The 18,208-nt window shown below is 43.1% G+C and overlaps 1 long non-coding RNA gene and 1 pseudogene across 1 annotated transcript in view, besides 1 other annotated feature; both read left to right on the top strand.

Moving 5' to 3' along the window:
* C5orf67 (chromosome 5 putative open reading frame 67) overlaps positions 1–4,463 on the top strand; it is a 94,975-nt gene extending 90,512 nt beyond the window's left edge. Inside the window, exons 5-6 of the long non-coding RNA NR_161255.1 lie at positions 1,820–1,983; positions 4,009–4,463. This is a non-coding gene — a long non-coding RNA (chromosome 5 putative open reading frame 67). The remainder of the gene's footprint in view (positions 1–1,819; positions 1,984–4,008) is intronic.
* Positions 594–1,094: an enhancer, noted in NCBI's record as "H3K4me1 hESC enhancer chr5:55810478-55810978 (GRCh37/hg19 assembly coordinates)". NCBI's record gives its function as "activates a minimal SCP1, AML or CMV promoter by ChIP-STARR-seq in naive H9 embryonic stem cells {active_cell/tissue: H9 hESC(naive)}" and the evidence as "EXISTENCE:reporter gene assay evidence [ECO:0000049][PMID:30033119]".
* On the top strand, positions 10,631–11,153 carry RPL26P19 (ribosomal protein L26 pseudogene 19; annotated as a pseudogene).

Genomic DNA, 18,208 nt, shown 5'->3' with positions numbered 1-18,208 from the left:
GAAGAGAAAAAACATAAAGTTAGTATGGTTTTGATCACTTTGTTTCTTTGAACATGTGCTTTCGTCTACAACTATTTTTTGCTTAGAGTAATTATGTTTTTTTTTTTTTTCAATTAAAGTACAAGTTCAGCTACCTTGTTTTTCTATCATCCCCTTCATCTCTCTTTCCCCATTTTTTGAAGATGAGTTCTGGGGTAGATAAAATATAAGATAAACACAGAATTTGAAAACGTGATGGTTCCCTGTTTAACCTGCCAATTTGGCAGTGCTTGAAGTTAATGTGGACAGCCGTGTCAAGGGCACCAACACAGCTAGCAGCTTCTCTCTAGCAGCCTACTCTGGAGGAGAAGCATGTGAAGGCTGGGCCTCCAAAGCACAAGCCCTAGAGGCCGGAGGTGGTGGCAAAGGGATCCGTCTAATTCCAGTACAGACCACTGAGTCAAACACTTGCACAAAGAGGATGATCTCCGGGAACCATCGGTGCTACTGAAGCCGGGAACAAGTGGGCCAGAAAGCCTCATCCTGCCAGAGCAGTCAGCTTAATGACTTAATTACACCCCAGCCTACACTGCTCTGCCTCCAAATCTAGGCTACTTAAAAGGGCTCAGCAGGGAGGTGCTCCGGCCTGGGGTGGCCAGAACGCTGCTCTGGCCACAGGCAAAGTGGAATCTAGAGGCAAGTGCCACCCCTGCTTCTGCTCTGTCCGGCTGTGTGACCTGGAGTAGGTTCTGGACCCACTCTGGGCCTAGTTTCCCCCAGTGAAACGGGCTGCTCTGACGATAAATAAAATAATGCATGTACAGTGCCTCTCTCGATGCCATTCCTCTTCCTCTGTCATGCTGTCCTCCAAAATGGTTCTGGGTTTTGTGGGGCCTGGAGACAGAAGAATATTCCAGGGACCATGGAGGAGAACATCACTGTAGAAAGACAGGCAAAGAGCAGGGAATGCCAACTCTCACATCCTACCACAGGCCCCAAACACAACTCATAATTATGCTCAGATAGTGTCTCCGTTCACTTGTGTTGCTGTAAAGGAATACCGGAGGCTGGGGAATTTATAAAGAAAAGAGGCTAATTGGCTCATGGTTCTGCAGGGTGCACAAAAAGCATGGCACCAGCACCCGCTTTTGGTGAAGGCCTCAGGCTGCTTCCACTCATGGGGGAAGGGGAAGGGGAGCCAGTGTGTACAGAGATCACGGGGTGAGACAGGAAGCCAGAGACAGGGGAAGGTGCCAGGATTTTTCTAACAACCAGTTCTAGCTAGGATCTAATAGACCGAGAACTCACTTACCTCCAAGGGAGGGCATTAATCTCCTCCTGAGTGATCTGTCTTCCTGACCCAAATGCCCTCCTTTTGCCCCGCCTCTCACATTGGAGATCAAATTTCAATATGTGGTGTGGAGAGGTCAAGTATCCAAACCATAGCAAACAGTCTTAATCTATGTTCTTTTACATATTCAAGGAACAACCAAGCTGTTAAAAACCCATCTACAGAAGCATGTCAGAGCCAACATAGCCAAAAGAGGGCTGGGAAGTGCAGTTTTTCTGGGATATTGAGTTTTTCAAAAATATTTCAGAACTTTTACTCTTGGAATTGTTTACAGAACTGGTTAACCAGCCACTTAAAAACATTAATCATACCTTAATTTTAGCCCCAAACAGTATTACCCTATTGAGTTATTCATCTTGACAATAAATGACTTTTTAAAAATGCTAACAATGTATTTTTCAAAAGAAGATTTGCCAGTGCTGAGGAAATTCTAAACACAGTCATCAAGTTCTGAAGGAAATTCCCAAAGAAGAATTTTGATGATTTCAGGTGATGGTGGCAGTGTCCCAGAGAAGGGAAAGCATGGCATTCTGGGAGCACAGGGCCAGGAGCACCCGGGTTTGAATGTCAGCTCCCCGTTTTCCAGCCCTTGGACGTGTTACCTGTCTGGACATCAGCCTCAGAATAATAATAGCCCTGAGCTTCAGGTTAAGGTAAGGATTCAATAAAGTCATGTATATAGAAGACACAGCACACAAAACGTGTACAATCCATTTTTCCTCTTCTTACCCATGCTTTGAATACAACTGCACTCAGTTAGATGTATGAAAATAATATTAAAAATTATAACAGCTAATGTTATTGAGTAATGACTGCATGCTGGGTCCTACCTTAAGTGCTTTACGTGTATCAACCCAGGTAGTCCTCACAACATCCTATGTGGTAGGTACTATTATTATCCTATTTTGTAGATGTGGAAACTGAGGGACTGAGAGGTTGAGGAATGTGTCAAAGGTCATACAGCAAGCAAACTGCAGAGTCAGGATTTCCAAACCTGGGAGTCTAGGTCCACTACTGGCACAACATTTTACATACTGCCCTTGTTAGGCATTAGTCATTACTTCATTATTACACTTTATGCATTCCTCAGGGGTGTGTGGATGGGAGTGTGAGCATGTGTGTGTCTGTGTGTGTGTGCATGCATGCACACATGATATGGAAAAGAGAATCCAAGCAGGTGGGGTGGATGACGAGGCTGGATGAGAGCTCCTCTTGATGCCTGTGCTCTGATTACACCAACCAATCTTAACATAGAAGAGTTTTTCTTTAAGAACCTTCTTGGATGCAAACAAAGCCAAGAGCCACAGCAGAAGATTATCGGCTGTCCCTCACCAGCAGCTTGAGCTGCAATCACTCCTAAGTATCACTTAGGACTGAAGATAGTTTTTGAACTAACCTAGTTGTAGGTAGTTGTTCTTTTTAGAATGCTATAATTTCACACGAGTTGTCTCATATCATCCCATTTTACTGATGATGATTTGAAGGGAGAATCACTTGCCAAAGATCGCCCAGATAATAGCTAGAGAAAGCTATTGAATCAGTTTTCTTTCTACCATATTGCACAATCCCTTTCCTTCTTGGAGGAGTGAAGCTGTCACCTAATTTCTTCCCCCTAGTTTTGTTTTCACTTTCACCCTCTTTCTGGAGGCCACATTGACACCTAGAAAGGTGGAGAATGTGATGCAGAGAGCTGCATGGCGTGAAAGAGAAAGGTGGAGGAGCAGCAGGGCCCTGGGACTGGATGGCTGTTATGGGTGGAGGCCCTGGATGCTGGCCTTCTATATCCCATAACCAGCCAAGTGACCCATTTTTTTCCAGCTCTGCCCACACAGCATTCACTGTTAATCCTGAGTGGCCATTGGCTGACTGCAGGAGCGGAGCTGCCAAATGCCCTGTGCAGCAGTGACCTTGACACAGCATAGGAAAAGCACTCAACTCTTGGCTCTGCATAGGCCTTTACCCCGGCGCAGCTTAGCACTGCCCTTCCCTAGGGACAGAAGTGACCACACAATGCAGAAGAGTGATGATGGATTTCCCAGAACTCCAGGCTCATTCTCTTTCCCTCTGACTCCAGGTCAAAACCTATACCCATTACCATGTTCATGCCATTGTTTCTGATTCTTCAGACTTAATATCTGTCATATATATATATATATATATATATATATATATATATATATTTTTTTTTTTTTTTTTTTTTTTTTTTTTTTAAATTACACATGGTTCAGTCCTGAGCACCGTGCATCTTTTGGGCAATCAAGGAGCTTGCCTTCGTGCAAATAAGCTTGGAAAATGAAGCTGGGTGGATGTGTGGAAATATTCTAGGTGCAAACAGGGCTTGTTTACATACATTTTGCCCTAGAAAAACATCTGTTGGAAAAGCAATGGCTTGGAGCTGTAACATATAAATATACTTTCTCTAACTCTGTTGATTATGTTCAGCATAATGTTAGTATCTTTTAATTAAGCAGTCTTATTTATTACATTATTATATGTTATCTTATTTTTAAATAATCTCATCTGTTTATCTTGTCTACTTAGCTAAACTGTAAACTCCTTTGGGGGTATTAAAAAAGTCTTTCTTTCTCTTGTGTTTCTCAATAATCCATGACATAACAATATAGACAATTGTCATTCTTTTTGACCACTCATCATCTGAAACTTCTTCCTCTCTTTAGGAAATCCTCTTATGAGATAGAGCTCAGCTCCTCCTGTAGAAGCTGAAATTCCAGACACTGGACTTCCCAGTCTCCCTTGCCACTAGATATGGACACGTGATCAAGATTCCACCAATCAGATGGTCTTTGAATCTGCTAGTGACAAAAAGAAAGGAACATGCCAAATCCATTCTGGCAGATTTAAGACACAATGGCAGCTACATCCAGTTCCCAGAGGCAGCAGGGCCAGTGGTTCTAGCATCGGCATCCAAGAACACTTGCTGATGGTGCAGATGGTGTGAGCTGCAGTGTCCAGGTGCAGTATGGCTGCTATGGTGTCCTCAATGAATGAATCCTGCAGTGGAATTTACAGTGTTGTTCCTGGCTGCACAGTCTTCAAGCCTTTTTCTCTGGATACTCTAGGAATTCTTTGAGTTTCCCAGTGTCCTTTCAATAAATTCTTCTTCCTAAATTAAGTAGAGCCTATTTCTGTGGCTTGCAACAAAGCATCCCAAAAGATACAATATTAAATTACTAATTAAGAACTTCTGACACTTCTCCTCGTCTTTATGAAATTTCAGAAGCCCCTCCCCCCAAAGAATATGTATGCAAATAGGGAGGCAGAAACGGACAGAGACTATTTAGGGAACAAGGAATAGGAGAGTTTTGTTGAAGCAGAAAGTTCATATAGAAGAATAATGGGAAATGAGGCTTCCAAACTAGATTGTAGATATTGTGGAGGACCTTAAAAAGCCAGACTAAAGAATTTGGGGTTAGCCTACAGGATTGGGGAAATGTGTGCAAAATTAGAGAATTTGGAGTTGTGGCTACGATCAGTCACTTCAGAGTGTCTTCAGCACAATATTCCCCCCAAATGATGGGTAGAACCTGCATATACAGAATATTAACATGGAATAAAGGATTGGAAGTCTTATATGTTTGGGAAATAGTGGCTTGATTGAGATTCAAACAATTTCTCTATCCTGATAAACAAAGTGAATTTCCTAGAAGACGCATTCAGCAGGCAACACTTCTCTAACTTATTGGACCTTGGGATTTATACTCTTTCAGCACGTGGGCCCAAGAGGCCCAAGAAGCCATCCTGGGAAAGGCTGTTTTTTCCTTGGTGACTGCTGGTTAAGAGAGCAAAAGGGATGCAGAATGAGCAAGGGGGGCAGGGAAAGGTTCAGAACTTGAAGAGGCCTTAAAAGAGTAGATGCGCTGAGACACAGGCAGTTAGGAGAAGGGGAAACTGGAGGAAAGAAGTTGGAAGGAAAGAAGACAAGTTACCCAAGACCCTCTAAATTTTACAGATAATCAGCCTGGTTTCCAGCTCCTGGCTTAATTTTAACAATTCAGCCTAATGCTTTGTCAGCCTCATGTGAGTATGTCAGATACCTAGGGAATCTCTCAGAGACACTCTTGGGGCATGAAAAATGTAAATAATAGACCAGGCCTCTGCCTTGAGCCACGAGGCAGCTTCCAGGAAATAAAGGCAAGGGGACAAAGTTAGACTAGTCGCAACCTGTGCCATCAAGCAAACTTTCTTACACCCTGGTCACTCCCCAAAGCTACCTGAAGGTTCCATGAAATACTTCCACAAACTGCCTGCTATTGCCAAGGTTTGCAGGATCTAGGCATATTTGAACAAAGTTAAAATGACGATTGCAAAGACCCCAACAGTTAGGAAAGCTTTTTGTTGTAAGAAACAGAATACTTGACTAACCGAGGCTTATACCCTAAGGACATTTCTTATTCGCAAAACAAAAAGTCCAGAAGTGAGAGGTCCTGGGGTTGGTCTAAACACTTTCTAACATTTACATCTGCCATTCTTAGCATCTTGGCGTTTGGTCTGCACACCTATCTCCTCATGACTGCAATATGGCTGCTGAAACTCCAGGCATGATGACCCAATTCAAGGCACAAAGAAAAGAAAAGAAAAGAAGAGTGATTTCAGCACCTCTCCTTCTTTTATGTCTGTCCCTTTTATCTGGAAAATAAAATCCTTCTCTAAAGTATCTCAGTAGACGTCTCTTCATGTTTCCTTGGCCTTTTAGTACATGAGTACTCCTGGCACCAGGGTGTTTAGAAACACTGGGGTTTTTGTTTTAATCTATAATGGAAGACAAGCAAGGGAGCAGGGGAGTAGAAATGGCTGCCTCATGAGCCAAATAATAACAGTCACTATGAAGGCTATGTAGAAAACAACTATAACAAAAAAGCCCATGATAAGCCACTAAGTAAATAAAAAGCAGGATTAAACCATTGTATATGCACTATGGTTACAATCAAGCAATAGTACAGATGAATGAAAGGAAAAGACTAGAAAAAATTAGTTTAAAAAACACATAAAATTTTACCCTTCTAAAAATGTTGATGGAAAGAGGCCAGAGGCCCCATGCAGGGGAATTAATCCTGATTTCATGATCAATCCAATGGCTTACTTGGGTGAACTTTGAGTAAGTCAGCCCAAATGCAGAGCATGTGAGCTGCAGGAATACAACTGCAAGAGCTGATCATTGCTGCCTGTGGCTGCTTCCTGACCTCATGCTGAGCCCCTCTTTTGGCTTTTATGTAACTGTTCCCATGCACTGTATGACCTCAAGGTGAACACCCGGTCATAGGGACTGTCTCAGGGGTGTGCAGTGGTCAGCTTCAATACAGGAAGAAGTCTGACAAGTCTCTGAGCATTATTTTTTTATTAGTCTAATAGTACAAAACTTGGAAACACAAATAGATTGGACCAGAGAACCAGACAAGGGGTGCCAACCTTTTCTCAGTTAGCAAAATATGTGAGGAAAAAAAAAAAAAAAGAAAAATGCATATTACCCATGGTAGTAATTTGTCAATATACTATTTTAACTGGTCACTTTTTTGGGATTTATTTTGGATGGCCAAAGTTATCCTTAAGAAATAACTGGATAGTAGCCTGGACAATTCAAGGCCCAGTGGTGCCCGGATACTTAAAAAGAAAGGGCAGAGTGTCAGAGAATCTCAAAAGGGAAGTGACCTTTCGCCCAGCGCCATGCCCTTGCCCTGAAATCCTGCTTGGAGCAGGACCCAGGACTGAACACACTTCCAGATGTAGCTGACCTGCTAAGACAAGTGTGGGACCAAGACACTAAACGATGCATTAGAGGACATCTAATTTCAGAAAGTCTTTAGACAAGGACTTCTAGCACATTATTATGGCTTAACTGGATGGCATCCCAATTCAGGAGAGAAAGTTCTTCAAGTTAGGAGATCAGGGTCACATTCTGATGTTGCCAACTGTATGACCTGAACATGGCTGAATCTCAGTTTCATTAACCAACCACATAGAGGATGTGTAATGCACACCTCACAGGCTGGTCTTAAGTATGAAGTTTGATTGCTGAGAAGAGTGAGAAGAGGATGATTACTACCTCAGTTTACTTATCTGTAAAATGAGGATAATAATGTTATAATACTTAGATTAGAAGGTTGCTATGAGGACATGAGTTAATACGTGAAAAGTGCTTAGAATAGGGAAAGAATGTAAGTAGCCAGGATGTAAATACATAGAATGTAAGTATTCAGAAATGTTAGCTGTCATTCTTCTTCCTTTATTTCTATCATCATGTATTAACTTATGACTATTTTTTCTTAAGCAGTAAACAAGTTTATCTAACAATCTTTCCTATTATTCCCTCCAAATCTCCTTAAAATCTAAAACCCAACTTTCAAAACAACATTTTTTTTCTATTTAGTTGTTTAGGTTTACATTGGTCTAGTAGCAGACTGCTTGATCCTTATAAACCCATTTGTTAAGTCTTTCTCAGAACATACATTTGGAAAACTATTAAATGGAAACATAAACCTTTTTCCCCCACTGCAACTATACATCTACTTTTTCATAATTACTCAAACCTGGAATTAGGTATCCAGTTTCAATAGTCTAGTATATTTAAATCCTGAGGACAGATTTTGATCCGTCCTGTATAAACACTAGCACCTGCTGGTTATAACTACACCCCCTGTGGACTCTCCAGAACTACCTCTGTAAGTGAATCACTGAAAGGGTACTCTACTGCCCTTGTGTCTCTGTTACGCCTGTGTTTCTAACCAGTCTTTATATATTACTGAGTTTTCTTTTATCTTCACTTTTTTTGTTTGTGATTTAGTCAAGACCAAAGGTCACTATCTCTATTCCAGGTATCAGAAAATAAGTGACAGAAAGTGGAGGCCTTAAGTGACTCACCCAAGGTGCCATGTGTTGGTTCAGTAGTGGAGTTTGGACTCAAGCTGATCCTAGGGGTGGGTCCTCTGAAGTATACCAGTCAATCAGAAGGGACTCCTCTGTGAGTTTTGTTCTTTAAGTTTTAGGAAGTAAGGGCCAGGCATGCTGGCTCAAGCCTGTAATCCCAGTACTTTGGGAGGCTGAGGGAGGTGGATCACGAGGTCAGGAGTTCGAGACCAGCCTGACCAACATGGTGAAACCCAGTCTCTACTAAAAGTACAAAAAAAAAAAAATTAACCAGGCATGGTGGTGTGTGCCTGTAATCCCAGCTACTCAGGAGGCTGAGGCAGGAGAATTGCTTGAACCTGGGAGGTGGAGGTTGCCGTGAGCCGAGATCACGCCATTGCACTCCAGCCTGGGCGACAGAGTGAGACTCCGTCTAAAAAAAAAAAAATTTAGGAAGTAAGGCTACAGTCTGGGTTGGAGCTGGTCCAAGGAAAGGGTCAAACTCTGTCTTGAAACAGGAGGTCACAGGAGCTGTGTACAAGTGACACAGGCCATTCACACTTGGCTCACAGTGTAACACTACAGACTTTCAGAAGTGTAGAAGAGCTGTTTGGATAAAAATCTTGGAAGGAATGACACATAATGTATTAGAAGATTCCTCAGTATTTGACATATGTGAGTTTCATCTGCAATGATTTGGCAACCGCCATTAATTTTCTTTCCCATCAGTAAATGGTAACCTCATAGGGATGGCATTTTTCTTTGCTGCTCCTTGGAAGGGCCAAGGTCACATTCCAGAGAAGGATGCTTGCCTTGCAAAGCATGCCATTCTTGAGGCACGATAAAGAGAGAGTTAATATTTGAAGACATTGTCAACTTCATTGACAACTAACAAACTTACCTAACTTTTATTGTTGCTGTAACTTGTCCCCTTTCCCAGAAAAGTGTGATAAGAAGAGGAGTAAGACTGCTCAGACTAATGAAGGAACAATGGTTTGATAGAATTCAGTTTAGTTTTTCACAACTACTGTTTGTATTCTGGGGCTGTGTGAGTTTTATATGGCATCTAGTGAGTGTCTATTTTTGAAATGCAGTGTGATTTATTCAAATTTTGGGCATTCTTTCTGCTCGACAATGCTGGGGGGTAAAGGATATGGTAAAAAGGAATCAGGAAGGATGTCACTTGTGGTTCCTTCTAGTTTTGCTCGCACTGCTTAAGTCAAGGAATCCTTGCTTAAGTCAAGGAATCCTTGACTTTTAGAGCCAAATGGAAGTTGAAGTGCTATAACCCAACTCACTCCATTCTTTATCCAGTTCAGAAACTAATTGCACCACAACCCTAACAGATAGCTCTACAACTCTGCTTGGTGTCTCTAGTGATAGGGAGATGAATATTACAAGTGACTATCAATTCAATTATTGGAACCATCCTACTGTAAAAAAAAAAGTTATTTTCTTTTTTTGACCCAAGTTGACTCTTTGCAATATCCCCCCATTAACTCTAGTACTGCCCCTAGAGTGAGAGAGAGCAGTATAGCAGAATGACAATGATCACAGCTCTGGAGCCAGATGGCCTGAGTTCAAATCCAAGTTCTTCCACTTCTTTGCTGGGCGCCTGTGCCTCATTGTCCCCACCAGAAAAATGTTAATTCTATTGGTGCCTACTTGATAGGGTGGTCATGAGGAAAAAATGGGTTTATATGTGTAAAGAACTTAAACAATGTATGGGACTTGGTAGGCACACAATTAATGCTAGCTATTGGCAACATTATTTCATCTCTTCATATACCTTTTTTTTTTTGAGACAGAGTCTTGCTCTGTCGCCAGGCTGGAGGCTGAAGTGCAGTGGCGCGATCTCAGTTCACTGCAATCTCTGCCTCCTGGGTTCAAGCAATTCTCCTGCCTCAGCCTCCCAAGTACCTGGGACTATAGGCACATGCCACCACACCCAGCTAATTTTTGTATTTTTAGTAGAGACAGGGTTTCACCATGTTGGCCAGGATGGTCTCAATTTCTTGACCTCATGATCCACCTGCCTCAGTCTCCCAAAGTCACATACCCTTTCTTTAAAAAAAAAAAAAATGCTATTTGAGGCACTGCACTGAATGTATTCTGAAGCTCTGTTCAGTGAATGCCATGATTGTTAAGTAATGTCTGCCACTGGTAGAAGATAAAATGATGTCACATATGTCACATACTTGCCATCTGTCATCCAATCCTGTTTTCTCATGACAGTTTTAAAAATATTAAATAAAATAGCAAAATTTCCTGTCTTAGCCTCTCATCCAGGCTAAAGCACCTAGTAGAAATACTGAAGTCTGTAAATTCTGGTTGATATCAAAAGATGACCCCTCAAGGCATCCTTGAAGTGGCCTTAAAATTAGAGCAAGAAAGAGCATTTTATTTTTTCATTTATTACCTTTTATTAGATACCTCTGGCTCTTCCCTTTTGCGGCTATCACCGAAGCAGGAGTGGCCAAAATGAAGTTTAATCCCTTTGTGACTTCCGACCGAAGCAAGAATCGCAAAAGGCATTTCAATGCACCTTCCCACATTCGAAGGAAGACTATGTCTTCCCCTCTTTCCAAAGAGCTGAGACAGAAGTACAACGTGTGATCCATGCCCATCCGAAAGGATGATGAAGTTCAGGTTGTACGTGGACACTATAAAGGTCAGCAAATTGGCAAAGTAGTCCAGGTTTACAGGAAGAAATATGTTATCTACATTGAACGGGTGCAGCGGGAAAAGGCTAATGGCACAACTGTCCACGTAGGCATTCACCCCAGCAAGGTGGTTATCACTAGGCTAAAACTGGACAAAGACTGTGAAAAGATCCTTGAACGGAAAGCCAAATCTTGCCAAGTAGGAAAGGAAAAGGGCAAATACAAGGAAGAAACAATTGAGAAGATGCAGGAATAAAGTAATCTTATATACAAGCTTCGATTAAAACTTGAAACAAAGAAAAAAAAATACCTGTGAATACCCAAGAGTGCCATAATTATTTGGAATCTCTCTAAAAACACTGATTTTTCACAACTTAATAATGAAATTAGTATTCTCCTACCACCCATTGCACACACATTGCTGTTGGTGTGTAGTGTGTTGCTGTGGAGAGAACATTAGATGGGGAGTTAGGGAGTGTTATGGCCCGAATTATGTCTCACCAAATTTCATATGTTGAGGCCCTAACCCCTAGTCAGACTCTATTTAGAGACAGGGTCTTTAAGGAGGTAATTAAGCTTGAATGAGGTGATAAGGATGGCACTGTTCTTCAAAAGAACTGAATTCCTTATCGAAGGGGAAGAAGCCTCATTAGGGCATGCATGCAGAGGAAAGACCAGGTGAGAACACAGCAATAAGGCGGGCATTTGCAAGCCAAGGAGAAAGCCTCACCAGAAACCAGCCCTGCCGACACCTTGATCTTGGACTTCTAGCCTCCACAACTATGTGAAAAGTAATCTCTTGTGTAAGCTGCCTACTCTGTGGTATTTTGCTGTGGCAGCCCTAGCAGACTAATAACAAGATGAGATCTAGAGCTCATTTTGCCACCAACAAAGTATGTGACCTTCAAGTATTCAAGCTTCCCAAATTTCAATACTGAAAAGTGTTTTAACCCTTGAGAATTAATATCATATGCTTCATCTGGGCTCCTGCCTTGAGGTGGGTGGTGTGCTTGGGATGGTGGGAAAATAAAAGTTTTGTAGCAGATTATCTTGTAGCCTCAATTGTGAATCCTGTGCAGCTCCTCCAGCCTAGAAACAGTCCAGGGGAAAAATATATCCTTGATCCTTGAATCCACAACTTCAGTCCTTTCCACATTAAACAAGCCATCTCACTTTCTTCCATGGAATTAGGAGATCTTGGCCTCATCACAAAAACTCTGCCTAGACTCCTCATTTTTCCTCTTGCCCCATACCAATCCCCAAAAGAATCTAATTTTCTAAAACAAGGAAAGAAGGATATGAAAGAGAAGCAAAGACAGATAACTTTTTCCTAAAGACCCTGATCTTAACTTGTTTAAAGTTTGTCCAAAAAGAATCTTGGGATCATGAGACATCCTTGGTTAAAAAGGGCCTCAGAGGTGTTCTGGTCCAACAACTCAGCTAATTTAACACCCCTAATGTTGACTGAGGCCTTATGGGTAATAGTCATAATTATTATGTATTTATACCCATTGGGGAGTCAAGAAGGATTTAGGGTAACTGGAATCACAATAACAATAGCTCCCAACTAGCATTCTGATGTTTTCTACAACATCTCAACCCAGCAGTCTAATAGTGCAAACATACATACCCAAGCATTAAATGCCCTTCCATATGTGGACCTGTCTGACTATAGTCAGAACCTCAGGACCCTCCCAAATCATATGCTTTCAGTCCTACTTTGAAAGCAAAGAAAATGAAGTCTAGAACAATGGAGTGATTGTCTTAGGTGTCACTGCTAGTGAGTGGCAGAGTTTGTGTTCAGATTCCCATCTCGTCCCCACTCTAGGGCTCCGTGGGACGCTCTAGTCTATAAGATCACCCAGCCTGTGATCATCCCTGGGTTGCATCTGAACATTCCCATCTGGTGTTTCAGGTTATGCCTTTGTAGCCATATTTAGGCAGCACGGACCAGCCACCTTGCTCAGAGCCACGCCAATTTGACTGTCTCACCAGGACAAATGGTGAAGAGTGGGTCTAGTTCATAGCCTTGGGCTCTGTTTTTGATACAGAAGATATTTTTATCTTCTTTTCCCTGATTTTTTTCCCAGTTTCAGGATACTAGAAAGCCCCTCCCCACCCTACCCCAATCTAGCAGTCTTTTCAATTAATAGGACTTGGTTGCTCCTAAGTCTAGTATTTAGATCTCTATTTTAATACACTCTTCACTTGTATAGTCTCATAAGCCACTCAAGTACCTCAAATTTTAGGATTACTCAGAAATTGTTTGACTTAACTAATTTATAAAAATATTTTCCCAAATAAACAAGAGTGATTTTCTTCCAAAATAAAAACAGACTTTACTTAGATGTCAACCAGAGTTTCTAGAACAGGATTAAAGTCAAATGATGCTTTCGACTTTGGCACCTGGCTGCTTCCTTGTCTCTCTGACCCTCTCCCACCCCCACTCCCTCACTGAACACTCCCATTGGCTCTTCCTGCTGATAGTGACTTTAAAAGAATCAACCACAGTATTGTTATCAGCCCTGTGGTTTCAGTTCTCATTTGTGCCTATATTTAGACTGGAAGAAAATAATCTCTTTCCATTGCCCTGGAAATAAGAGACTGTTTTTAAGTGAGTTAATGGATCACCTACATTTGGAATTTCCCTGTAAATGTTGTCTTGTTTCTGTGAAGGAAGACATGCTAAAGCTTATGAAGCAAGGAAGTTGCTATCTGGTGGCGTGACTAAGACTTTGATAGTCAGATCATAGGTGTGTTACCAGTTAGTCTCCATATGCATTGGGCCAGGCCTTAGGGCAAGGGCAGGAACTTCTGTGCAGGACCGTATGTGGGAACAAGCATCCCATTTGTGCCTAAATAAGAACACAGGTCCATGCTACTCGAGAAAAGTGTTGATAAGCACAGTTCTAAAGAACAAGTACCAAAGGATGTCTCCCCTAGATAAGAACCACAGTCTGATATTGGACTTAGAAAAAAACCCCATGAATTAGAAAGAATCATGGGTTGTAACAGATATTTGACCCAAACTTATCATTTTCATACTTTCCCTTACTGGCTTTGAGGTTAATTTTTTTCTTCCTTTATACCATTTTCGCTGAACAAAATTCTTCCAACAATTGGAAGAGTTGGAATTTTTCTCTAAGAAAATTCTTCCCATTCTCAACCATTCTTGAGTGGAAGGGAGAGGGTATCTCTTTATCTTTTTACCTTATGAATGGGAAAATCCATGTAGTAATTCAGAGTAGAATAAATCTGAATATGTGGTGGGGAGAAAGCATCATAAGGTGTTTTCAGGATCAGCCTTCAGTGTACATGCAAAGAATGCAATTTGTCCTTCCTTTCTTATACGCTATGCTCTTAATTCACTTAAAGGCTGTCCAGGACTCCGTATGGAAAACTTCATTATCCCTCCATTCTGCTTCCAGGAGTCCCTGGTGTGATTGGAGGGAATCTGGAGAAGACACAATGTCCCCAACTCCTGAAATCTTCACTCCTCTCAATATTGGTGGCACTGAAAATCACTTCTTTGGGAAGAGTTCCTTAATTGGCTTACCTTTTGTCAAAATGTAAGTCCTTAGAGGCTTGGGGCATTAAGCCATTAGCAGTAAAAAAAAAAAAAAAAAAAAAAAAAAAAAAAAATTGGAGGGGAGGGGGAGTGGAAAAAAACTAGAGCTGACATAAAAAAAAATTATAAATATTGGATCTTGCCTGAGACTTTAGGTACTGATTGCTGGCTTCTTGACCTGTTTCACCTTCCAGATATTTTGGCTACATCTATCTCCAACACAGTCTGACTCTCAAATTTAGTGAATCTTACACTTTAGGGCCACTCACTTGCAGGGGCGCCTTCCCAAGACCTTTGGAGAAGCCCTAGCAAGGTGTTCATGTGATTGTGCATTTTTGTCAAATTTGCAAATACAGTATATTTTTACTTTAATTGGCTAAGACTGCTGCCTGTTTCCACTCCAGTGTCCCCTCCCTTATACTTGATGTCCTGTAAGGGGTTGATGTGGAGGGGAGGATGAGGAATTATAAACACATATTCACTTGTAATTAAATTAATGTCTAAACAAATATTTACTTTGATGCCTGACTACCTTCTCGCAATTTTAAATTATTTTTCTTATTGAGGTCCCCAAATACTTCAGGCTCCACAAAACCTGAAGGCAGATGTCCCTGAATTCTAGGCTTCCTGCCATCACATAGTTATTGGTCTCAGTTCATCTTTGCCTTCTATGCTGATATATAATAACTTCTACCTGTTATACAAATAATGTTTGGTTTTCCTGGTCCCCCACCATGGCCTGACAAAAGTCCATCATAGAAAACGGACAGCAAATGAGGGATATGCTGAGAAAATAGTTAACCGAGTGAAGAGGAAGAGAAAAGAGAATCGAGAACGTAGATAAATTGCCAACTCTTCCCATACATCCTGGTATTGGCGGCAGTGGTCAAAGGAGAGGGTCTTCATGCTGGAGAATCAGAAGAGGAGACTCATCAACTTCTGTTTGTTTGGAAGGCCGAAATGAAACATTGCCACGCTGGTTGAGAAGCTGAGTGATATTCCAGCCTGAGATGGAGGTGGGGGGAAAAAGGGAGGAGGCAGGATGGGGAGCTGAAATGAATTAAGGAAAACACATGGTCTTCCGGAAAGGAAATGGAGTTATGAAAAGAGATGGAAAAAACAGTTCTTCCAGGATAATGTCTTTTGTTGGTCCCCAACGGGAAGCTCAGTTGAGACATGAGGAAGCTGGAAGAATATGATGGAAGCCCAGGTTACCTGACACAAGGAAAGAGGGCCGAAGGGAAAGGCGAACAGTAGGGGACAGGGACCAGGGGTCACGTTTTTCTTGGCATTGAAATATTTTCAAACAAGTTATTTTTCAAAAGTTTCCAAGGAGGATCCTCTACCAGTTTCCAACCTCCATTTGGGATTTGAAACCTACAGGAAACAAAGACCCTTCCCATGACCTCTTTTCTTCCTCTCTAAATTAAATTTGGATGCAGAGAGCTGGTTAAGCGGAGGCTGGAGCCTTCTGCTGTGCCTGAAAGGGTGGCCTTTCCCTGATACAGTCTTAGGGGCTGCTTCTGCTCCCAATTAACAGTTGTTTTGGCAAGTTTGGGGACATCGTTTTGATTTTTGGCAAGTCGTTTAAAGATCTGGCTTTCAAGTTCTTCCATCTGTAAAATAAGGAATTTGGACTAAAACCATTGGTTCTCAACTTTGTGAGGGGTGGGGAAGGAATGGTTAACGACTCTTTTTGGAAGAGGCTGAAAGCTGCAGAACTGCTCCCAGAAGCATGCACATATGTCTGCTAACATATAATTCTGCATACAATTTTAAGGGTTTGTGGACCTTACAGTAAACAGTTCTCCAAGTAGTTATCCTCCTGGCAGAAGGGCTATACTTCTTTACCCCAACTGAACTCAGGCATTGGCCAATGGGATGCAAAGGGTCCCCCTTCTAGGTTGAAGAATTAAGAGCTTAGCTCTCTTTCCTTCTGCATTGATGCCAGCAATATTCCTGATATTGCATTTCTATCATGTCCAGGAGTATGTTGATGATGCAGGAGCAATGTCCCAGCCAACCCTGTATTATCATGTGGTATGAGTACAAAATGAGCCTTTGTTGCTTTGAAGCCACTGAGATTCTCAAAGTGTTTGTTACTGAGAGGTGACAGCGTGCTGGCAGCCCTCGCAGCCCTCACTCACTCTCAGTGCCTCCTCGGACTCCGCGCCCACTCTGGCCGTGCTTGAGGAGCCCTTCATCCCGCCCCGGCACTGTGGCGGCCCCTCTCTGGGCTGGCCAAGGCCGCAGCCAGCTCCCTCTGCTTGCTGGGAGGTGTGGAGGGAGACGCGGGCGGGAACTGGGGCTGCATGCTGCCCTTGCGGGCCAGCACAAGTTCCGGGTGGGTGTGGGCTCGGCAGGCCCCACACTCAGAGCAGCTTCCCGGCACCACTGGCCCTGGGCAGTGAGGGGCTTAGCACCTGGGCCAGCAGCTGCAGAGGGTGCGCCGGGTTCCCCAACAGTGCCAGCCCACCGGCACTGCCCTCGAATTCTCGCCGGGCCTCAGCTGCCTCCCCACGGGGAAGGGCTCAGGACCCACAGCCCCCCATGCCTAAGCCTCCCCTGCGCCGTGGGCTCCTGCGCCCCCGGAGCCTTCCGGACGAGCACCACCCCCTGCTCCATGGTGCCTGGTCCCATCCACCACCCAAAGGCTGAGGAGTGCGGGCACACGGTGCTGGACTGGCAGGCAGCTCCACCTGCGGCCTGGTGCGGGATCCACTGGGTGAAGCCAGCTGGGCTCCTGAGTATAGTGGGGACTTGGAGAACCTTTATGTCTAGCTAAGGGATTGTGAATGTACCAATCAGCACTCTGTGTCTAGCTCAAGGTTTGTAAATGCACCAATCAGCACCCTGTGTCTAGCTCAGGGTTTGTGAATGCACCAATCAGCGCTCTGTGTCTAGCTAATCTAGTGGGGACTTGGAGAACTTTTGTGTCTAGTTCAGGGATTGTAAATGCATCAATCAGCACCCTGTCAAAATGGACCAATCAGCTCTCTGTAAAACAGACCAATCAGCTCTCTGTAAAATGGACCAATCACCAGGATGTGGGTGGGGCCAGATAAGGGAATAAAAGCAGGCTGCCCCAGCTTGCAGTGGCAACCCACTGGGTCCCCTTCCATGTTGGTGGAAGCTGTGTTCTTTTGCTCTTTGCAATAAATTTTGTTGCTGCTCAGGCTTTGGGTCTGCACTGCTTTTATGAGCTGTGACACTCAGTGCAAAGGTCTGCAGCTTCACTCTTGAAGCCAGCGAGACCATGAACCCACCAGAAGGAAAAAACGCCGAACATGTCCGAACATCAGAAGAAGCAAACTCCGGACACATCACCTTTAAGAACTGTAACAGTCACTGTGAGGGTCCGCAGCTTCATTCTTGAAGTCAGTGAAACCAAGAACCCACCAGTTTCAGACAGATTTCCACAGCATATCCTAGCCCACCAGGACTGAGAGAATCCGTGAGTCCATTCGTGCACTCTGGAGCTTTCTAAGAGCCTCAGGTTATCAATTCTGAGTCTAAAAGTCTAAATCATCTCTTTTTTTTTTCTTTGAGAGGGAGTCTCACTCTGTCACCCAGTCTGGAGTAGCGCAATCTTGGCTCACTGCAACCTCCGCCTCCCTGGTTCAAGCGATTTTCCTGCCTCAGCCTCCTGAGTAGCTGGGATTACAGGCTTGCATCACCACGCCCAGCTAATTTTTGTATTTTTAGTAGAGATGGGGTTTCATCATGTTGGTCAGGCTGGTCTCGAGCTCCTGACCTCATGATCCCCCCACATCGGCCTCCCAAAGT

This window comes from Homo sapiens, chromosome 5 (genome assembly GCF_000001405.40).
Source record: "Homo sapiens chromosome 5, GRCh38.p14 Primary Assembly".
In the NCBI taxonomy this organism is placed as follows: Eukaryota; Metazoa; Chordata; class Mammalia; order Primates; family Hominidae; genus Homo; species Homo sapiens.
The sequence above is the reverse complement of the archived record's forward strand: the minus strand, read 5'-3'. Positions and strand labels throughout refer to the sequence as shown.